Source organism: Homo sapiens, chromosome 12, assembly GCF_000001405.40.
Source record: "Homo sapiens chromosome 12, GRCh38.p14 Primary Assembly".
NCBI lineage: Eukaryota > Metazoa > Chordata > Mammalia > Primates > Hominidae > Homo > Homo sapiens.
In genome coordinates, this window is record NC_000012.12 from 101,580,133 (window position 1) to 101,596,876 (window position 16,744).

General features: G+C 36.3%; 1 protein-coding gene across 31 annotated transcripts in view, besides 1 other annotated feature; it reads left to right on the forward strand.

The window, feature by feature from the left end:
• Positions 1,041–1,568: an enhancer, noted in NCBI's record as "OCT4-NANOG hESC enhancer chr12:101974951-101975478 (GRCh37/hg19 assembly coordinates)". NCBI's record gives its function as "activates a minimal SCP1, AML or CMV promoter by ChIP-STARR-seq in primed H9 embryonic stem cells {active_cell/tissue: H9 hESC(primed)}" and the evidence as "EXISTENCE:reporter gene assay evidence [ECO:0000049][PMID:30033119]".
• Positions 14,839–16,744, forward strand: part of MYBPC1 (myosin binding protein C1) — a 100,871-nt gene continuing 98,965 nt past the window's right edge. For all 31 annotated transcript variants that reach the window (XM_017019316.2, XM_006719406.5, XM_006719410.5 and 28 more), the window contains exon 1: positions 14,839–14,963. In XM_017019316.2, coding sequence (XP_016874805.1) covers positions 14,939–14,963 — 25 coding nt within the window. In that variant the 5' untranslated portion in view covers positions 14,839–14,938. The remainder of the gene's footprint in view (positions 14,964–16,744) is intronic.

Sequence of the window (16,744 nt, forward strand, 5' to 3'; positions counted from 1 at the left end):
TTTTTTTTTTTTTTTTTTTGAGATAGAGTCTTGCTCTGTTGCCCAGGGTGGGGTACAATGGTGTGATCTCAGCTCATTGCAACCCCTGCCTCCCAGGTTCAAGTGATTCTCTTGCCTCAGCCTCCCAGGTAGCCGGGATTACAGGCACCCACCACCACACCCAGCTAATTTTTTTGTATTTTCAGTAGAGACGGGCTTCACCATGTTGACCAGGCTGGTCTCAAACTCCTGACCTCAGGTGATCCTCCCACTTTGGCCTTCCAAAGTGCTGGGATTACAGGCATGAGCCACCATGCCTGGCCTGTTGTTCCCTTCTTTGTGTTCATAAGTTCTCATCATTTAGCTCTCACTTATAAGTGAGAACATGAGTATTTGGTTTTCTGTTTCTGTGTTAGTGTGCTAAGGATAATGGCCTTCAGCTCTATCCATGTTGCTGCAAAAGACATGATCTCTTCTTCTTTATGGCTGCATAGTATTCTATTCTATGGTATATATGTACCACATTTTCTTTATCCAGTTCATCACTGAATGGCATTTAGGTTGATTCCATGTTTTTGCTATTGTGAATAGTGCTGCAACAAACACTCATGTGTATGTGTCTTTATGGTAGAATGATTTATATTCCTCTGTGTATATACCCACTAATGGGATTGCTGGGTTGAATGGTAGTTCTGCTTTTAGCTCTTTGAGGAATCACCATACTGCTTTCCACAATAGCTGAATGAATTTACACTCCTAACAACAGTATGTAAGTGTTCTCTTTTCTCTACAACCTCGCCAGCATCTGTTATTTTTTGACTTTTTAGTGATAGCTCCTTTGACTGGTGTGAGATGGTATCTCACTGTGATATTAATTTGCATTTCTCTGATGATCAGTGATGCTAAGCTTTTTTCATATGCTTGTTGGCTGCATGTATGTCTTCTTTTGAAAAGTATCTGTTCATGTCCTTTGCCTACTTTTTAATGGGGATGTTTTTCTCTTGTAAATTTGTTTTAAGTTTCTTATAGATGCTGGATATTAGACCTTTGTCAGATGCACAGTTTGCAAATAATACATAAATAAAGATGATGATTTCCCTGAATATTCTGGAAGAGAGCTGAGGAGGAAGCACATCTTCAACTATGAGGCAAAATAAGAGCACTGTGGGACAGCAGCAACAGCCAGGGCAGCTGGGCAGGCCTAGGGTCTTTCAAACAAAGGCACAGGGCAGAAAATAAATCAGAGCCCCAGAATCTCATCGTGCAGGCTACAAATAGCAGCTGCAGCTGCAGACCAAGGGCTGGCCTTTACATGTCCATGGTGCAAAAGGACTCCTGGTGAGAAGCTGATCTTTTCCCTCACACCCACACAGAGCCAGCAATCACACATAGAGTAAACTCTGAATATTAAGGAGCCATTTTTAGTAGAGAATAGCAAACTGCTTGATAATACAGACTGGATGGAAGATGGAGCATGGTGAATTTTGTATACTGATTAGATGTTTCTGTATGTACCATACATAATTCTGGATCATTAGACTGCCAACAATATCTCCCCACATCTGTAGAACACTTACCATGTTCAGACACTGTACCAAGGACTTCACATATATAGTTCATTTAATCCTCCTATGCTTCTGTGGAGCAGATATGATTATTGTCCTAACCTAGATCTTAGAGGAGGACTAGCAAAAGTTGGAGAAACTAAGGCTCAGAGAGATTAAATAATTTACCCAACATCACAAGATTCTGGGTTTAGGGCTGCATTATAAACCAAGTCTGTCTGAATCCAGCATCTCATCTCTTAAAACTCTTTGCTGGGCTGCCTTGCAATTACAATGATATCTTGCTCACAAATTATTTTATGTGCTTATTTCTTATGGCCTCAAATAGTCCCCTGTGAGGAGGGGCAGGGTGCTGCACTTGCTTATTTTGTACCTCCAAACTTTCAACACATAGCAGAAGGTGAGCAGATACTTACTGATACATTTTGAACAAAGTTATGATGGAATAGGAGAGAGGGAGGAATTGGTCAGCTCCCAACGACACAACGTCAAGGCCACTTAAAAAACTCTCAACCCATTTACATTTTTTCAGCTACAAATTATGTTTACTATAAACTATGAACCATAAAGATGATTAAGACAAGATCCTGGCTCAAGAACATAATAGTTTAGATTAGGTATTGCAAATTCAACTGTTCACCTGGCTAGGCAGTTAACATGAACAAGTGAAGGGGCCCAAGAAGCAAACTAGGGTGTTCCCTATTGAGTTCCAGCTTATTGTTTCTATCCAAATTCATTATTGCCAGGAGAAACCAGAAGTTTATATTTTATATAATTTTCATATCTTTATGTGAAACAAGTGTGTGGTTCAGATAAAACTTATTTGCAAACTGGATTTAGCTCATAGGCTACCAAGTAGAGACCTCTGTTTTAAACAATAATATGTACACATAAAGACAATAGAAGGTAGACAAGACTAATTAATGTACAAGGAGGGTACATAAAGTTTTCAGGGAAGTCAGAGATTATTTTCAGCTAGAGCATCAGAGAAGACTTTGTGAAGAAAGTCACCTTTGAGTTTCTTCTACTAAAGTGAATCAGCTTTGCAATCACTATGATGCGAGGGAATGCTATTCAGCTGTAAGCAATGATAGGAGCAAAGACCCATAGGTGGAAAATCATGAGTCAAACTCAGGGACCTCTGAATTACACTGTACTTTGATTTTTGTGTTTTGTTTTGTTTTGCTTTTTGGTTTCTTACTGGAGACAAATGTGTTGTAATGTGATTTACATTCATCAGAATTAGGAAAATTTTTGTGTTTTTCCAGTAAGCACTATAAGCAAAGAGTAGAAGATGATGAAGGTCAAAACTTGTTAGGGTCTATCAATTAAAGGAGATTTTAAAGCAAAGGAAATGTCACTCCTTGTAGCCTACTGCATGGTGTGTGGTAGGACATAAAGCTTAAAAGAACATCCGAGTCTTGGAAGGGATCCAGCAAAGGCACCAGGACTAATTTGGGAGATGAAGGGTATGTCTTATGAGGAGAGGCTTAGAGGGCTTAGCATGCTTTAGCTTTAAAATAAGGGGGGTGAGCAGAGTTCTATTGATAGCCTGCAAGTCTTCCAGTATGAACTTGTACTTGATGTGAGATGAAACTCTAAGTTACACAAAGGAATTTCAAGAAGGCAGTTTTCTTTCTTTTTCATTTCAAGAATGATGAGCCCTAGAACTTTTCATGCAAAAAAGTTTTAAAGACAAAATGGCTTTTCATAAAGGATTTGGGGGAACAATTTCAGTTTTATTACCATGCATTCACTGAAGTGCTGAATTTAAGGATCAATTATCCATAATATCAATTTATATCACAGTAGATAGAAATACCATTGTCCTGGTAGCTCCAAATGAACATAAAACAACAAACAAACATGCACACTCCTGCACAGAGAGAGGGAGAGAACTCACTTAGCCATTACTTAGCACAAACATGCTGAAATTCACAAATTCACCAAATCTTTATTTCTGTTTTTTGTTTTGTTTTGTTTTTGAGATGGAGTCTCGCTCTGTCACCCAGGCCAGAGTGCAGTGGCACAATCTCGGCTCACTGCAATCTCCACCTCCTGGGTTCAAGTAATTCTTGTGCCTCAGCTTCCCAAGTAGCTGGGATTACAGGCGTGCACCACCATGCCTGGCTAATTTTTATATTTTTAGTGGAGACGGTGTTTCGCCTATGTTGGCCAGGCTGGTCTCCAACTCCTGACCTCAGGTGATCCGTCCACCTCAGCCTCCCAAAGTGCTGGGATTGTAAGCATGAGCCACCGTGCCCAGCCAAATTCACCAAATCTTTACCACCTGCACCACTTGATATTTCTTGTGTCATGAACAATGAGGCAATTCATGGGAGGGAGAACTGGTAGACCTAAGAACATGAGTAATAATCCTATGGAGTCATCCTTCAAATTTTAAATTACTTGACAATCTGCTTTGTTTTGGATTTTGACAAATTTTATTTTGGCTCCTAGATCTCTGCTTTTCATGACTTAGTTTAAACTCAAAAAGCCCCACAAAATATGCATAGGATAAAACTGAAAGGACATATAACAATTTTAGTGATTGTTAGTATTTCTAACTGATTAAGCTTTTAATATTTAATATATAGACTATTCAGGTTCAGAAGTTGAGGTTCAGGATCAAGGTCAGAGTTGGGTCCCAAGAGTCATTCACACAGTAATAGCTGAGAATGTGAGAGGGGATTAGCTCACTGAGGGAGAGGATGTACACAGACAGCAGAGAGCCAGGAGCTGAATCTTGGGGAAAGTCTCCTGCAAGGGCCCAGGCAAATGAAGAGAGGGACAGCAGGGGACAGGCAGGATCTGTTCACTGTTATTTAGATCCAGGAGCCCCTTCCTCCTGATCACCATCTTCTTCCAAATGGTCATTGGATTAGTCTCTTCTCATGCTGCTAAAGACATGCCCAAGACTGGGTAACTTATAAAGGAAAGAGATTTAATGCACTCACAGTTCCACATGGTTGGGGAGGCCTCACAATCATAGCTGAAAGAAAAGGAGAAACAAAGTCACATTTTACATGGCAGCAGGCATAGAGAGGGTTTGTAAGGGAACTCCCCTTTATAAAACCATCAGATCTCGTTAGACTTATTCACTGTCACGAGAACAGCACGGTAAGGATCCGTCCCCATGATTCAATTGCCTCCTACTGGGTCCCTCCCACAACATGTGGGGACTATGGGAACTACAATTCAGCTGAGATTGGAGTGGGACACAGCCATATCATATCAGTCATCTAAACAGAAGTCTTAAGCTATTTTGTTCACATATTTCCTGCTATGAACTGAACTATGTTCCCTCCCCAAATTAGTATGTTGAAGCCCTACCTTCCAATGTGATGGTATTTGGAGATGGGGCCTTTGGGAGGTAATTAGGTTTAAGAAGTTATGAGGGTCTGGCCCTCATGATGGGATTAATGCCCTTTTAGGAAGATACACCAGAGAGCTTGCTCCCTGTCTCCACTGTTGTGAGGACTTAGTGAGAAGGCAGTGGTCTACAAGCCAGGAAGTGGACCTTCACCAGAACCCGAACATGCTGGCACCCTGATCTCAGACTTCCAGCCTCCAGAACTATGAAAAATAAATTTGTGTTGTTTGAGCCTCCCAGTCTATGGTATTTTGTTATGGCATCCCAAACTGAATAATAACACCTTCTAAAATTTTGGGGGTAATTTTTCACACATTTCCAAATTAATATTCAAAATTTTCTATCATAAGTTTAAATAGTTGCAAAGACTGTAATTTCCAACATTCTGTAAGAGTTGATATTAAAAATCAAAATAAAACTGTATATATTTTAAATATCTCTTATGCAATAAAAATGTCATAGTGATATGACATTTTTAATGTCCCATCTTAATGTATTAAAGACATATAAATAAGCTCTTTGGCCACTGGAGATTTTGACATTATTTCCTTCTTTCCCTGAGCAAATATTTTCATTCCACTTAACTCACAGGATTCTACTTCTATTTAATATAATTTTTTGCCTTAAAAGTTAAAAAAGTTTTTCACCTTATATTTGTCTGTCTCAAAAGATAAATAAATTAAAATTTTAAAAAACTTTGTTCTGTGACTACAAGGATTTAAAGTAATTTTTAAATGTATTTGAAATTAAGTTATTGATATGAGTATTATTTGTACACAATTCATTAAAGCAACTTAAAAGATGAAACTGACCGATAAGTCATTATTAAGCACAAAATAATATTTTATTAGAAATGTATCCTTGAATTTTGTATAAGGTGTAAGGAAGGGATCCAGTTTCAGCTTTCTACATATGGCTAGCCAGTTTTCCCAGCACCATTTACTAAATAGGGAATCCTTTCCCCATTGCTTGTTTTTCTCAGGTTTGTCAAAGATCAGATAGTTGTAGGTATGCGGCGTTATTTCTGAGGGCTCTGTTCTGTTCCATTGATCTATATCTCTGTTAATCAATTCAAGATGGATTAAAGATTTAAACGTTAGACCTAAAACCATAAAAACCCTAGAAGAAAACCTAGGCATTACCATTCAGGACATAGGCGTGGGCAAGGACTTCATGTCCAAAACACCAAAAGCAATGGCAACCAAAGCCAAAATTGACAAATGGGATCTAATTAAACTAAAGAGCTTCTTCACAGCAAAAGAAACTACCATCAGAGTGAACAGGCAACCTACAGAATGGGAGAAAATTTTCGCAACCTACTCATCTGACAAAGGGCTAATATCCAGAATCTACAATGAACTCAAACAAATTTACAAGAAAAAAACAAACAACCCCATCAAAAAGTGGGCGAGGGACATGAACAGACACTTCTCAAAAGAAGACATTTATGCAGCCAAAAAACACATGAAAAAATGCTCATCATCACTGGCCATCAGAGAAATGCAAATCAAAACCACTATGAGATATCATCTCACACCAGTTAGAATGGCAATCATTAAAAAGTCAGGAAACAACAGGTGCTGGAGAGGATGTGGAGAAATAGGAACACTTTTACACTGTTGGTGGGACTGTAAACTAGTTCAACCATTGTGGAAGTCAGTGTGGCGATTTCTCAGGGATCTAGAACTAGAAATACCATTTGACCCAGCCATCCCATTACTGGGCATATACCCAAATGACTATAAATCATGCTGCTATAAAGACACATGCACACATATGTTTATTGCGGCATTATTCACAATAGCAAAGACTTGGAACCAACCCAAATGTCCAACAATGATAGACTGGATTAAGAAAATGTGGCACATATACACCATGGAATACTATGCAGCCATAAAAAATGATGAGTTCATGTCCTTTGTAGGGACATGGATGAAATTGGAAACCATCATTCTCAGTAAACTATCGCAAGAACAAAAAACCAAACACCGCATATTCTCACTCATAGGTGGGAATTGAACAATGAGATCACATGGACACAGGAAGGGGAATATCACACTCTGGGGACTGTGGTGGGGAGGGGGGAGGGGGGAGGGATAGCATTGGGAGATATACCTAATGCTAGATGACGAGTTAGTGGGTGCAGTGCACCAGCATGGCACATGTATACATATGTAACTAACCTGCACAATGTGCACATGTACCCTAAAACTTAAAGTATAATTTAAAAAATAAATTAATTAATTAATTAAAAAAAATAAAAATAAAATAAAATAAAATAAAAAATGTATCCTTGAGGCAGAAAATAATTTTTTCCAGTTTATTCATTCATGGTCGAATATTATTTATTGTCAGAAAGGTACAGCATTCACACCAATATCAGACAAAATAGATTTTAACTAAAAAATTATTTCGAGACAAAAATAACAATATATGTTAATAAAAGGCTCAATTAAAAATGTATAACAATTATAAACACATACACATCAAACAACAGTTCCCCAAAATACGTAAAGCAAACATTGACAGGATTGAAGGGAGAAATAGACCACTCTACAATAGTAGTTGGGGTCTTCAACACCCCACTTTCAATAATGTATAAAACATCTAGACAGAAGATCAGGAAGAAAACAGAGAACTTGAACAACATGATAAACCAACTAGACCTAACAGACATATATAGAATTCTCTACTCAACAACAGCAGAATACACATTCTTCTCAGTGCACATTGAACACTCTTCAGGGTAGATGATATGTTAGGTGAGAAAACAAGTCTCAGTAAATTTCTAAAAATGTAAATCATACATATCTTCTCTGACTACAATGGAATAAAGCTAGAAATGAATAACAGGAGGAAAACTAGAAAATTCACAAATATGTGGAAATCAAACCACATGCTTTCAAACAACCAAAAGGTCAAAGAAGAAATCATCAGGAAAATCAGAAAATACTAAGAAATAAATGAAAGCAAAAATACAACATACCAAAACTAAAAAACATACTATATGAGATGTGGTGAAGGCAGTGCTAAGGGGGAAATGTACAGCAATGAACACCTACATTAAAAAAGAATGATCTCAAATTAATAACTGTACATCTTAAGAAACTAAAAAAAAAAGCAAAATCAATCCAAATCTCACAGAAATAAATAATAAAGTTTAGTGCAGAGATAAATTAAATAGAGAATAGAAGAACAATAGTCAATAAAACTAAAAGTTGGTTCTTTGAAAAGATCAGCAAAATTGACAAACCTTTAGCTAAAATAACAAAGAATAAGACAGAAGATGAAAATAAGTAAAATCAGAAATGAAAGTGGGGACATTACTGACCTTATAGAAATAAAAAGGATTATAAGAGAATATTATGAACAAAAATATAACAAATAGGATACCCTAGAGGAAAGGTAAAAATTCCCAGAAATATTCAAATTACCAAAACAGACTCAAGAAGAAATAGAAATTTGAACAGCTATAACAAGTAAAGAGGTGGTATCAATAATCAAACACTTCCCAACAACAACAAAAAAATCAGAGAGCTTCACTGGTGAATTCTACTAAACACTTAAAGAAAAATTAACAGCAATCCTTCTCAAGCTTTTCCAAAAAATAGAAGAGGAGGGAATACTTCCTGATTAGTTTTATGAAGCCAGTATTATCCTGATACCAAAGCCAAACAAAGACATTACAAGAAAAAAAATTAGAGACCAATATCCCTTGTGAGTATCGATGCAAAAATCCTCAAGAAAATGCTAGAGAAGTGAATACAATAGCATATTAAAAGGATTATACCCCGTGATCAAGTAAGATTTATCCTAGAAACACAAGAGTATCTCAACATAAGAAAATCAAGCAATGTTACACCAAATTCATAGAATGAACGGGAAATTCATTCTATGTAGAAACGCATAATTGCAGAAAATGCATTTGACAAAATCTGACACCTTTTCATGATTTTTTAAAAAACCCCTCTGAAAACTAGGAATAGAAAATAACTTCCTCAACATGATAAAGGGCATTTATTAAAAAACTCATGGCTAACATCATACTCAATGATGAAAGGTGGAAATCCTTTTCCTTAAAATCTGGGAAATGAGAAGATACTTTCTTTCACAATTGCTATTCAACATTACACTGTGGGTCTTACCCAGAGCAGTTAGGCAAGAAAACAAAATAAAGGCATCCAAGCTGAAAATTATCTCTATTTGCAGACAACATAATCATGCACATAGAAAATTCCAAAGAACACACACACACTCAAGCATACACACACACACACTCATGCATACACACACACAACCCTGAGCCAAAAAGCAAATTCAGGAAAGTTTGGGGGTGCAAGGTAAACACACAAAAATCAGTTGCATTTTAATACAACAGCAAGGAACAACTCAATGAGGAAATTAAGAGAACAATTCCATTTACTATAGCATCCAAGAGAATACAAAGCCTAGGAATAAATTTAACCAAGGAGGTAAAAGACTTGGACGCTGAAAACTACAAAACATTGCTGAAAGGTATTAATAATCTTTGAAAAACTCAATAGAAAACTAATTTAAAAAAGAAAACAACGACAAGAAAATCTTAATTTCTTTTTTTAAATTTTTTTTTCAGGGCAGTTCCCTTAACCAGCATATGTTCGGAGTGACTCCCAAAAATCTTAATTCCTTAGCAATTAAGAAATGATCTTTTATTTTTTTAATTTTAATTTTTTTTTTTGAGACAGGGTCTCACTCTATCACCCAGCCTGGAATGCAATGGTGCCATCAAGGCTCACTGCAGCCTCCACCTCCCAGGCTTAAGCAATCCTCCCACCTCAGCCTCCTAAGTAACTGGGATCACAGGTGCTCACCACCATGCTCAGCTAATTTTTTTATTTTTTGCGGAGATGGGATTTCACTATATTGCCCAGGCTAGTCTTGAACTCCTGTTCTCAAGTGATCCACTTGTCTCTGTGTCCAAAAATGGGAATTGCAGGTGTGAGCCACTGCACCCAGCCAAAAAATGCCCTTTTAAATAACTCCTAGATCAATAAGAAAATGACAACCAAATTGCAGATTATTCAGAAATTATAAATATGATAACATTAAATCAAAATCTATGTGGTATAGCTAAAGCCCTAGGCTGAAAATAAGGTCTAATCTAAATCCTTAATATAGAAAAAAAAAAAACTTGACCAAAAGAAATCAGGAAGAGAAAACATAATTAAACCATAAACTAGTTCTTTCAAAGCACCAATAAAATTAGTTATACCTTGGAAAAACTTACCAACGGAAAGGGAGAAAATACAAATATTTATTAGGAATAAAAAGGAACCATAATCTTATATATGGATACTTTTAAATTAGTAGGATTGATTTTAAAAGTGAGAATCGATCCTACTAATTGGCTGGTGCATATACATAGTTTAAATTTTAATCAATTTTTGCTAGACCACTTTCCCAAAAGGTTACCTAGCCAACAGTTTGATCAGCAATGTATAAGATTGCCGGGTTTCTCATACCCTGAATGTTATCATTAAAAAAACAAAAAGTTGCCAACTTAATGGGTGAGAACTGATTACTCATTGTTTGTTTCCATTTTCCTGAAAGTTTAAGCAATATATCGTATGTATTCATGGTTTCTATTTCTTCTGTAAATTGCTTTTTGAAATCTTCTACTCTACTTTTAAATTAATAATATTAACTCTATGATGGGTTTAAAATAACTTTTTCTCCTTTCCTTTTTTACTTTTTGATTTTATGGTGTCTTTGCTAGAGATAAAGAATTTTAATATTTTATTTACTCAAATCTGTTACCTTCTCTATAGCTTCTAGATTTTCTTACTTTAACACGTGTCTCCACTTATGAGAGTATTATTCAAACACTGTCATAATTGTTCTTCAAATATTTTTATTGTTTAATTTTTTAACTTAAAACTTTATTTCTTCTATAATTTGCTCTTCTTTATTGTGTGAATTAGAGGTTTAAAGTTGTTTATTCCCCACCCATCCACACCCGCCATGTGCCTCCAACTTACCAGAGAGACATACCACCACCAGTTTCTGTTATTTTACCATGATGCTGATTGCAGTATTAGTTATGGTGGTCAAACACTGAAAACAACCTGAATGCCCATCAAAAGGTATGTGATTGAGAAAATATGGCATACTACAGCACATCCATACCATGAACAATTATTTAGCTATTAAAAAAGATTGAGTTAGGTCTATGTATATTAACATGAATGAATGTCTGTGAGAGGAGGTTACATGGAAAAAGAAAGTGGAAAATAATGTAAATAGTATAATCCCATTCATTAAAAAATAGATGAAGAACTCTCTACATATGAATATATACATTTATACACGTATGTATGAGCACAAAGGAAAATTAGACCCTAATTCACACACTGGAATGAGGATGAGGTTGGGGAGAGAGTGAAATTCTTGAGATTGCTTATTTACTATTTATACTTCTCCATATTCTTTGGTTAACGCGGAGAACACTATTGCTTTTATTTTGAAAGGTGAGAGATTGATACTTGCCTATCTGACATCCATTCTCCTTGGTCTCTTTAATAACAGAATTCCAATTTTACCTGAGAATAAGACTACATTTCCCAGCTCCTTTTGTAGTCAGATATAGCCATGTAACCAAGTTCTGGCCTGTGGGATGTAGTAGATGTGTGTGGGACTTCAAACAAGTCTCTTTAAAATGAAGAAAGTGACTTCTTCCTCTTCCTCTTCTCCTTCTCCTTCTCCTTCTCCTTCTCCTTCTCCTTCTCCTTCTCCTTCTCCTTCTCCTTCTCCTTCTCCTTCTTCTTCTTCTTCTTCTTCTTCTTCTTCTTCTTCTTCTTCTTCTTCTTCTTCTTTTCAGCTGCCTGGAATAGGAATGTAGTGTCTAGAAGATACACAGCTATTTTGGACCATGAGGTTACCAGGAGGATGGTAGAGCAAGAAGGAGGAGTCTGGTTTCCTGGATACACTGTGAAGCCACTGTATGACTCTAAGCCATTTGCTTTTAGACTTGCTTTATATGAGGGAGAAATACTTCTATCTTGATTCAACTGTTGGTATTTTGTAGTTTTGTGTTGTATTTGAACAAACTTCATCCTCAATAATACAAAAGGAAAAATCTAATACAGCATTTAGCAAAAGAAACAAAAGCCTGTTGACCATCCCCCTGTCTTTCCTGAGAGTACAGCTAAGGCATCTGCAACCTTCTAGATGAATGCATAAGATCTGAAATAGGAGTTATGTATTCCTAAAACAATATAGCCCTAGGAAAATTACACAAGTCTACTTGTTATCCTAATTTAAAATTTTACCTTAACCACCTGATACACTGTACAATAATTTGTCCTAGAATTTGTCCATACTTCCAATTCCTATAATAATGCTTTGCCTTTTTATAATTAATTCCTTTATTACCAAAAAGTTCCCCAGGTCATAAAATACTTTCTCTGTGGATTGCAATATTTCCTGGCATATGTTCACTTCAGTAAGACGATCAGTGTATTAAAAACCCAATGGGGTTTCTGCAGAAGCCAATGATGGCATGGCACCTCTTTTGTGGCATGTGTGAAATCTGCCCTTCGCTGTAAACATTCTTATGCAACATGACACTCTGCCCTATGTCCATTTCATATGTGGTGTTCAGTGTGCTGGGAATGCTGAAAAAAACAATTCTCTCTTAGAGATTTCCCAAGTAGAATCACAGTGTTAAACCTATCAGCAGCCTCCAAGATCATTTTTTTTAAGCCCCTCATTTTACACAAAAAGAAACTGAGGCCCAGAAAGCCCCCTGACTTTCTCAGAGTAACTAAGCTGGTTAATGATAGATCCAGAAATAGAACCCAAGGGACCAACTTCAGATTCTAGGTTCTTTCATATGTTTCATCTATTAATTGATATCCCCAGAGCGGACTCAGCAAAGGAACGTTTTTTTTTTTTAAAGTACAAAAATGTGTTCAGTAGTATAATGTGGTTAAGGAGGGGCTGTCTTTATAAAAGATGTTCATTACCATCTTGACTGGCTTCCTCCCCCTCCCCGCCACATAACTAAAGCATGATGCTATTGAGTTCTAAGTCTAGTTTCCACCCTTATATGAAAAGTCAGCTTGGCACAGAGTTTGGTAGAGCTAAGTCTGACCAGCTGCACTCTCAGCCACAAGGGAAATTAGACGAGACAGTGTGGCTGCTTCAGTACCAATCAATCAAAGTTTTTGAAAATTATCTTGAAAACACACACCAATAAAGGCATGTGTGTAGTTGTCTTTTCATATAAACTCAGGTTAGTCCTAGTGCATGTGAACAAAGAAAGTAAGGTGTCTTCTTCAGGTTGACTACTTGGTAGTTCCTATTTCTCTATCAGTTCCATGAGCGTTTTGGGAGAAAGTGACCACATCTACTACAGTCTTTCAACATCTTAAGTTAGATTTGTGTACCCTCCAATTGAATCACTTGAATCAAAACAATAGCTACTAGTCTATTTGACTTTCTTTGCCCAGGCCCCATATATATCTTTTTATTTTATTTTTATTTTTTGTAGAGACAGGGTCTTGGTTTGTTACCCAGGCTGGTCTCCAACTCCTGGCTTCAAGTGATCTTCCCACCTTGGCCTCCCAAAATGCTGGGATTATAGGCCCCAGCACTGCACCCAGCCTCCATATATATTTTTAAGTGTATAATCCAGTGGTTTTTAATATATTCACAAAGTTGTACAACCATCACCACTATCTAATGCCAGAACATTTTCATCATGACCAAAAGAAACCCCATATGCACTGGCAGTCACTCCCAATTCCACCTCCCTTAGGCCACTGGCAAACACTGATATACTTTCTCACCATATGGATTTGCCTGTCCTAGATATTTCATATAAGTGGAATTGTACAATGTGTGTTCTATTATTTTTTATTATTATTATTATTAATTTGAGATGGAGTTTCGCTCTTGTTGCATAGGCTGGAGTGCAATGGTACAATCTCGGCTCACCACAACCTCCGCCTCCTGGGTTCAAGTGATTCTCCTGTCTCAGCCTCCCGAGTAGCTGGGATTACAGGCATGCACCACCATGCCCAGCTAATTTTGTATTTTTAGTAGAGACGGGGTTTCTTTATGTTGTTCAGGCTGGTCTCGAACTCCTGACCTCAGGAGATCCACCCCCCTCAGCCTCCCAAAGTGCTGGGATTGCAGGCATGAGCCCAGCAGTGATCTATTATTTTATAGTCTACGTTTGTATGTCTGACTGACTTCTTTCACTTAGTGTAATGTTCTCAAGCTTCATCCACGTTGTAGCATGTGTCATTGCCTCATTCTTTTATATGTCCTATAATTTTGAAAAATGATGTTTTTGGAAAAAAATGCAAACGCAGAGTATCCCCTAATAGAAATCTTTGCTATTCTTAGAGAAGAACATGAGACAAGTTATTTAACCTAGAGATTTGGCTTGAAAAATTAATATTGACATATCAATGAGGAATAAGAAAAAATATAAATGCAATAATTAAGGACTGATGAAAATGAAAAGCTAATTGGAGCATAAAAGTGATCATCTGAATACAAAGACTTTTCTGCCTAATCTTAGTGAAAATTAAGGTATAGGTTGGATTGGCATATTATGATTTTTAATTTGTTTTTTTAATCATCCAGCAAACTTTTTGCACTCCTGAGTCAGCACATGCATCTGTCAGAGAGAGAAGAGCAAGACGGAGCACGAGGCTGCAGCTGAATTTAGAAAGTTAGAGGTGTTCTCATCAGCCACATGAGATGGGCAGGAGATTCCTTCCAGTAGGCGAGAGAGCAGAGTGCAGACAACAGATGTGAGAAAGGTCCCCATAGCTGTCAAGTTCCTGCATCCTTGTGCTGAAGAAAGGGAGGTGCCATCATGATTGATGTTCAGAGGCAGTATAAAAGCACTGGGTTTCTCCCCAACTGCTTGTCACACCGACCTGCACCATCTCTCGCCTGCCTGTGGGGTTTCTGTCAACTAGTCGTGGAGGGAAGGAGACTCTTTAAAGAATAACATCTTATTGTGGCCATGCCAGAACCCACTAAGAAAGAGGGTAAGACTTATCTAGAAATCTTTTTGTTGTACTCCTGAATAAAGTGTTTATTTTGGTATTTATCTTCAAACAAATAACAAATATCTTAACTAGATGAGAAAATAAAATCACTATGATTTAAGGAAACGATCTTTTAGATTAAACAGACCAGAGGAAAAATACAGCGAGAGTATATTGAATTGAAAAATTTCTGATAACGATAGTTTCTAAAGGGATATTGACTAAAATTATCAAATGATAATTCTATCATTCAATTGTAAAGAATCCTTAAAGTGTAATTTAAGGATGTTAATTGCTGATGGTAAACAGATTACGTTTTCAAGCATATTTTCTTAGATTTAATCACAAATTTTTTACCATGTATTTGCAATTTGCAGAGAGTAGGAGACTTAAAATATTTTCTCAAATGGTTAATACATTGGATCAAGATTTCAAAAAAGAATTTGTGACATTATTTCCATATTTGCTACTTTTTTTAATGGAAACATATTTAAAATATACAGACGAAGGGTTTTTTTTGTTCTTATCAGTGCCTTTGGAGGTTCGTTATTAAATTCTTGCATGGAAAGAAAACCAAACACCTGATAAAAAAGGATGTCCCTGAATATCATGAATAGATTGTTCTTTCATGAGTTTTATTGTAGAGAATTTCATAATATGTAGTAGGCTTTAAGAATAGTTAAGCTGAAAGTATAAAAATATTCTTCCTTAGAAGAAATGTTTTCCCTAACAAAGTTTCTCCTTTCTATAAAAAAATTAGTGTATTAAAGCTACCAATTGGTAACAGAAGTAAATTGGAATTAGTAGTTATGAAAATAAATAATAATAAGCACAAATTAATACTATGCATGCATTGAATTTAATTTTTAATTAAAATATCTTTTAAAAATATTATTTCATTTATATTCATCTTCATTAATGCTTACTGAATCTTTATTTTTCCCTTCTGCAAATAAAAGAAAAAGAAAGATTAGCAGGAAACATAAAAATAGTCATAGTTTTCAGTTTTTAATTCTTAAAAATGCTTTAGCTATTATTTTAAGGAACCTTGAAAAAGATGTTGAAATACTAACCAAATTATCAAAAGTCTTTTAAACATATTTTCTTTATATAATTAAGTAACCAGTGTTGACAGGCTGTGGTGATCAGTTTACAGGTTGGCCTTACTTAGTGGCAGAGGGCATTGATGGATGAAGTCTTTCACCCAAAATAACCACACCAAATGCATGTATTAATATGGGAACTTAATCCTGACTGTCAGGCAGGGAGTCCAACCCCTGCTAAAGTATCTTATTTGTAATGCAAATGATTTACGTGTGTACTAAGTGTCCTTTTTATCTGCTCTGTCACTTTAACCTCTCCGAAGTGTACCCAGAAGCAATACATTCTACCATGTTTCCAAACTGGAAACACAATATTGTTTTAATTATTCTGAATTTAGTGAATGATTTTGCATTTGTTTTTTTAAAGCCTAATTGAAAATGAGAAGAAAGCTGAAAAACCAATAAATAAGGTGACAGCCTGTAAGAGCCAATAAAGCTAATTAAATTATTCTGATCGCAAAGGCGATGAAGTTTACTTTTCATTTGACAACTCAGTCTGATTCACTCTTTTATGGGGAATGAAATTATAGAGCTGCAAAGAGGAAAATATATCTTTAACTTCAGCCCCCACCCCCCCAATATATATTTTTTTCTTTCTGAATAAAACAGCATGGATGCTAAAGACTCCATCATCTTCTTTTGCTATAAAAGCATGTTGCTATTCTGTGTAGGAGTTCC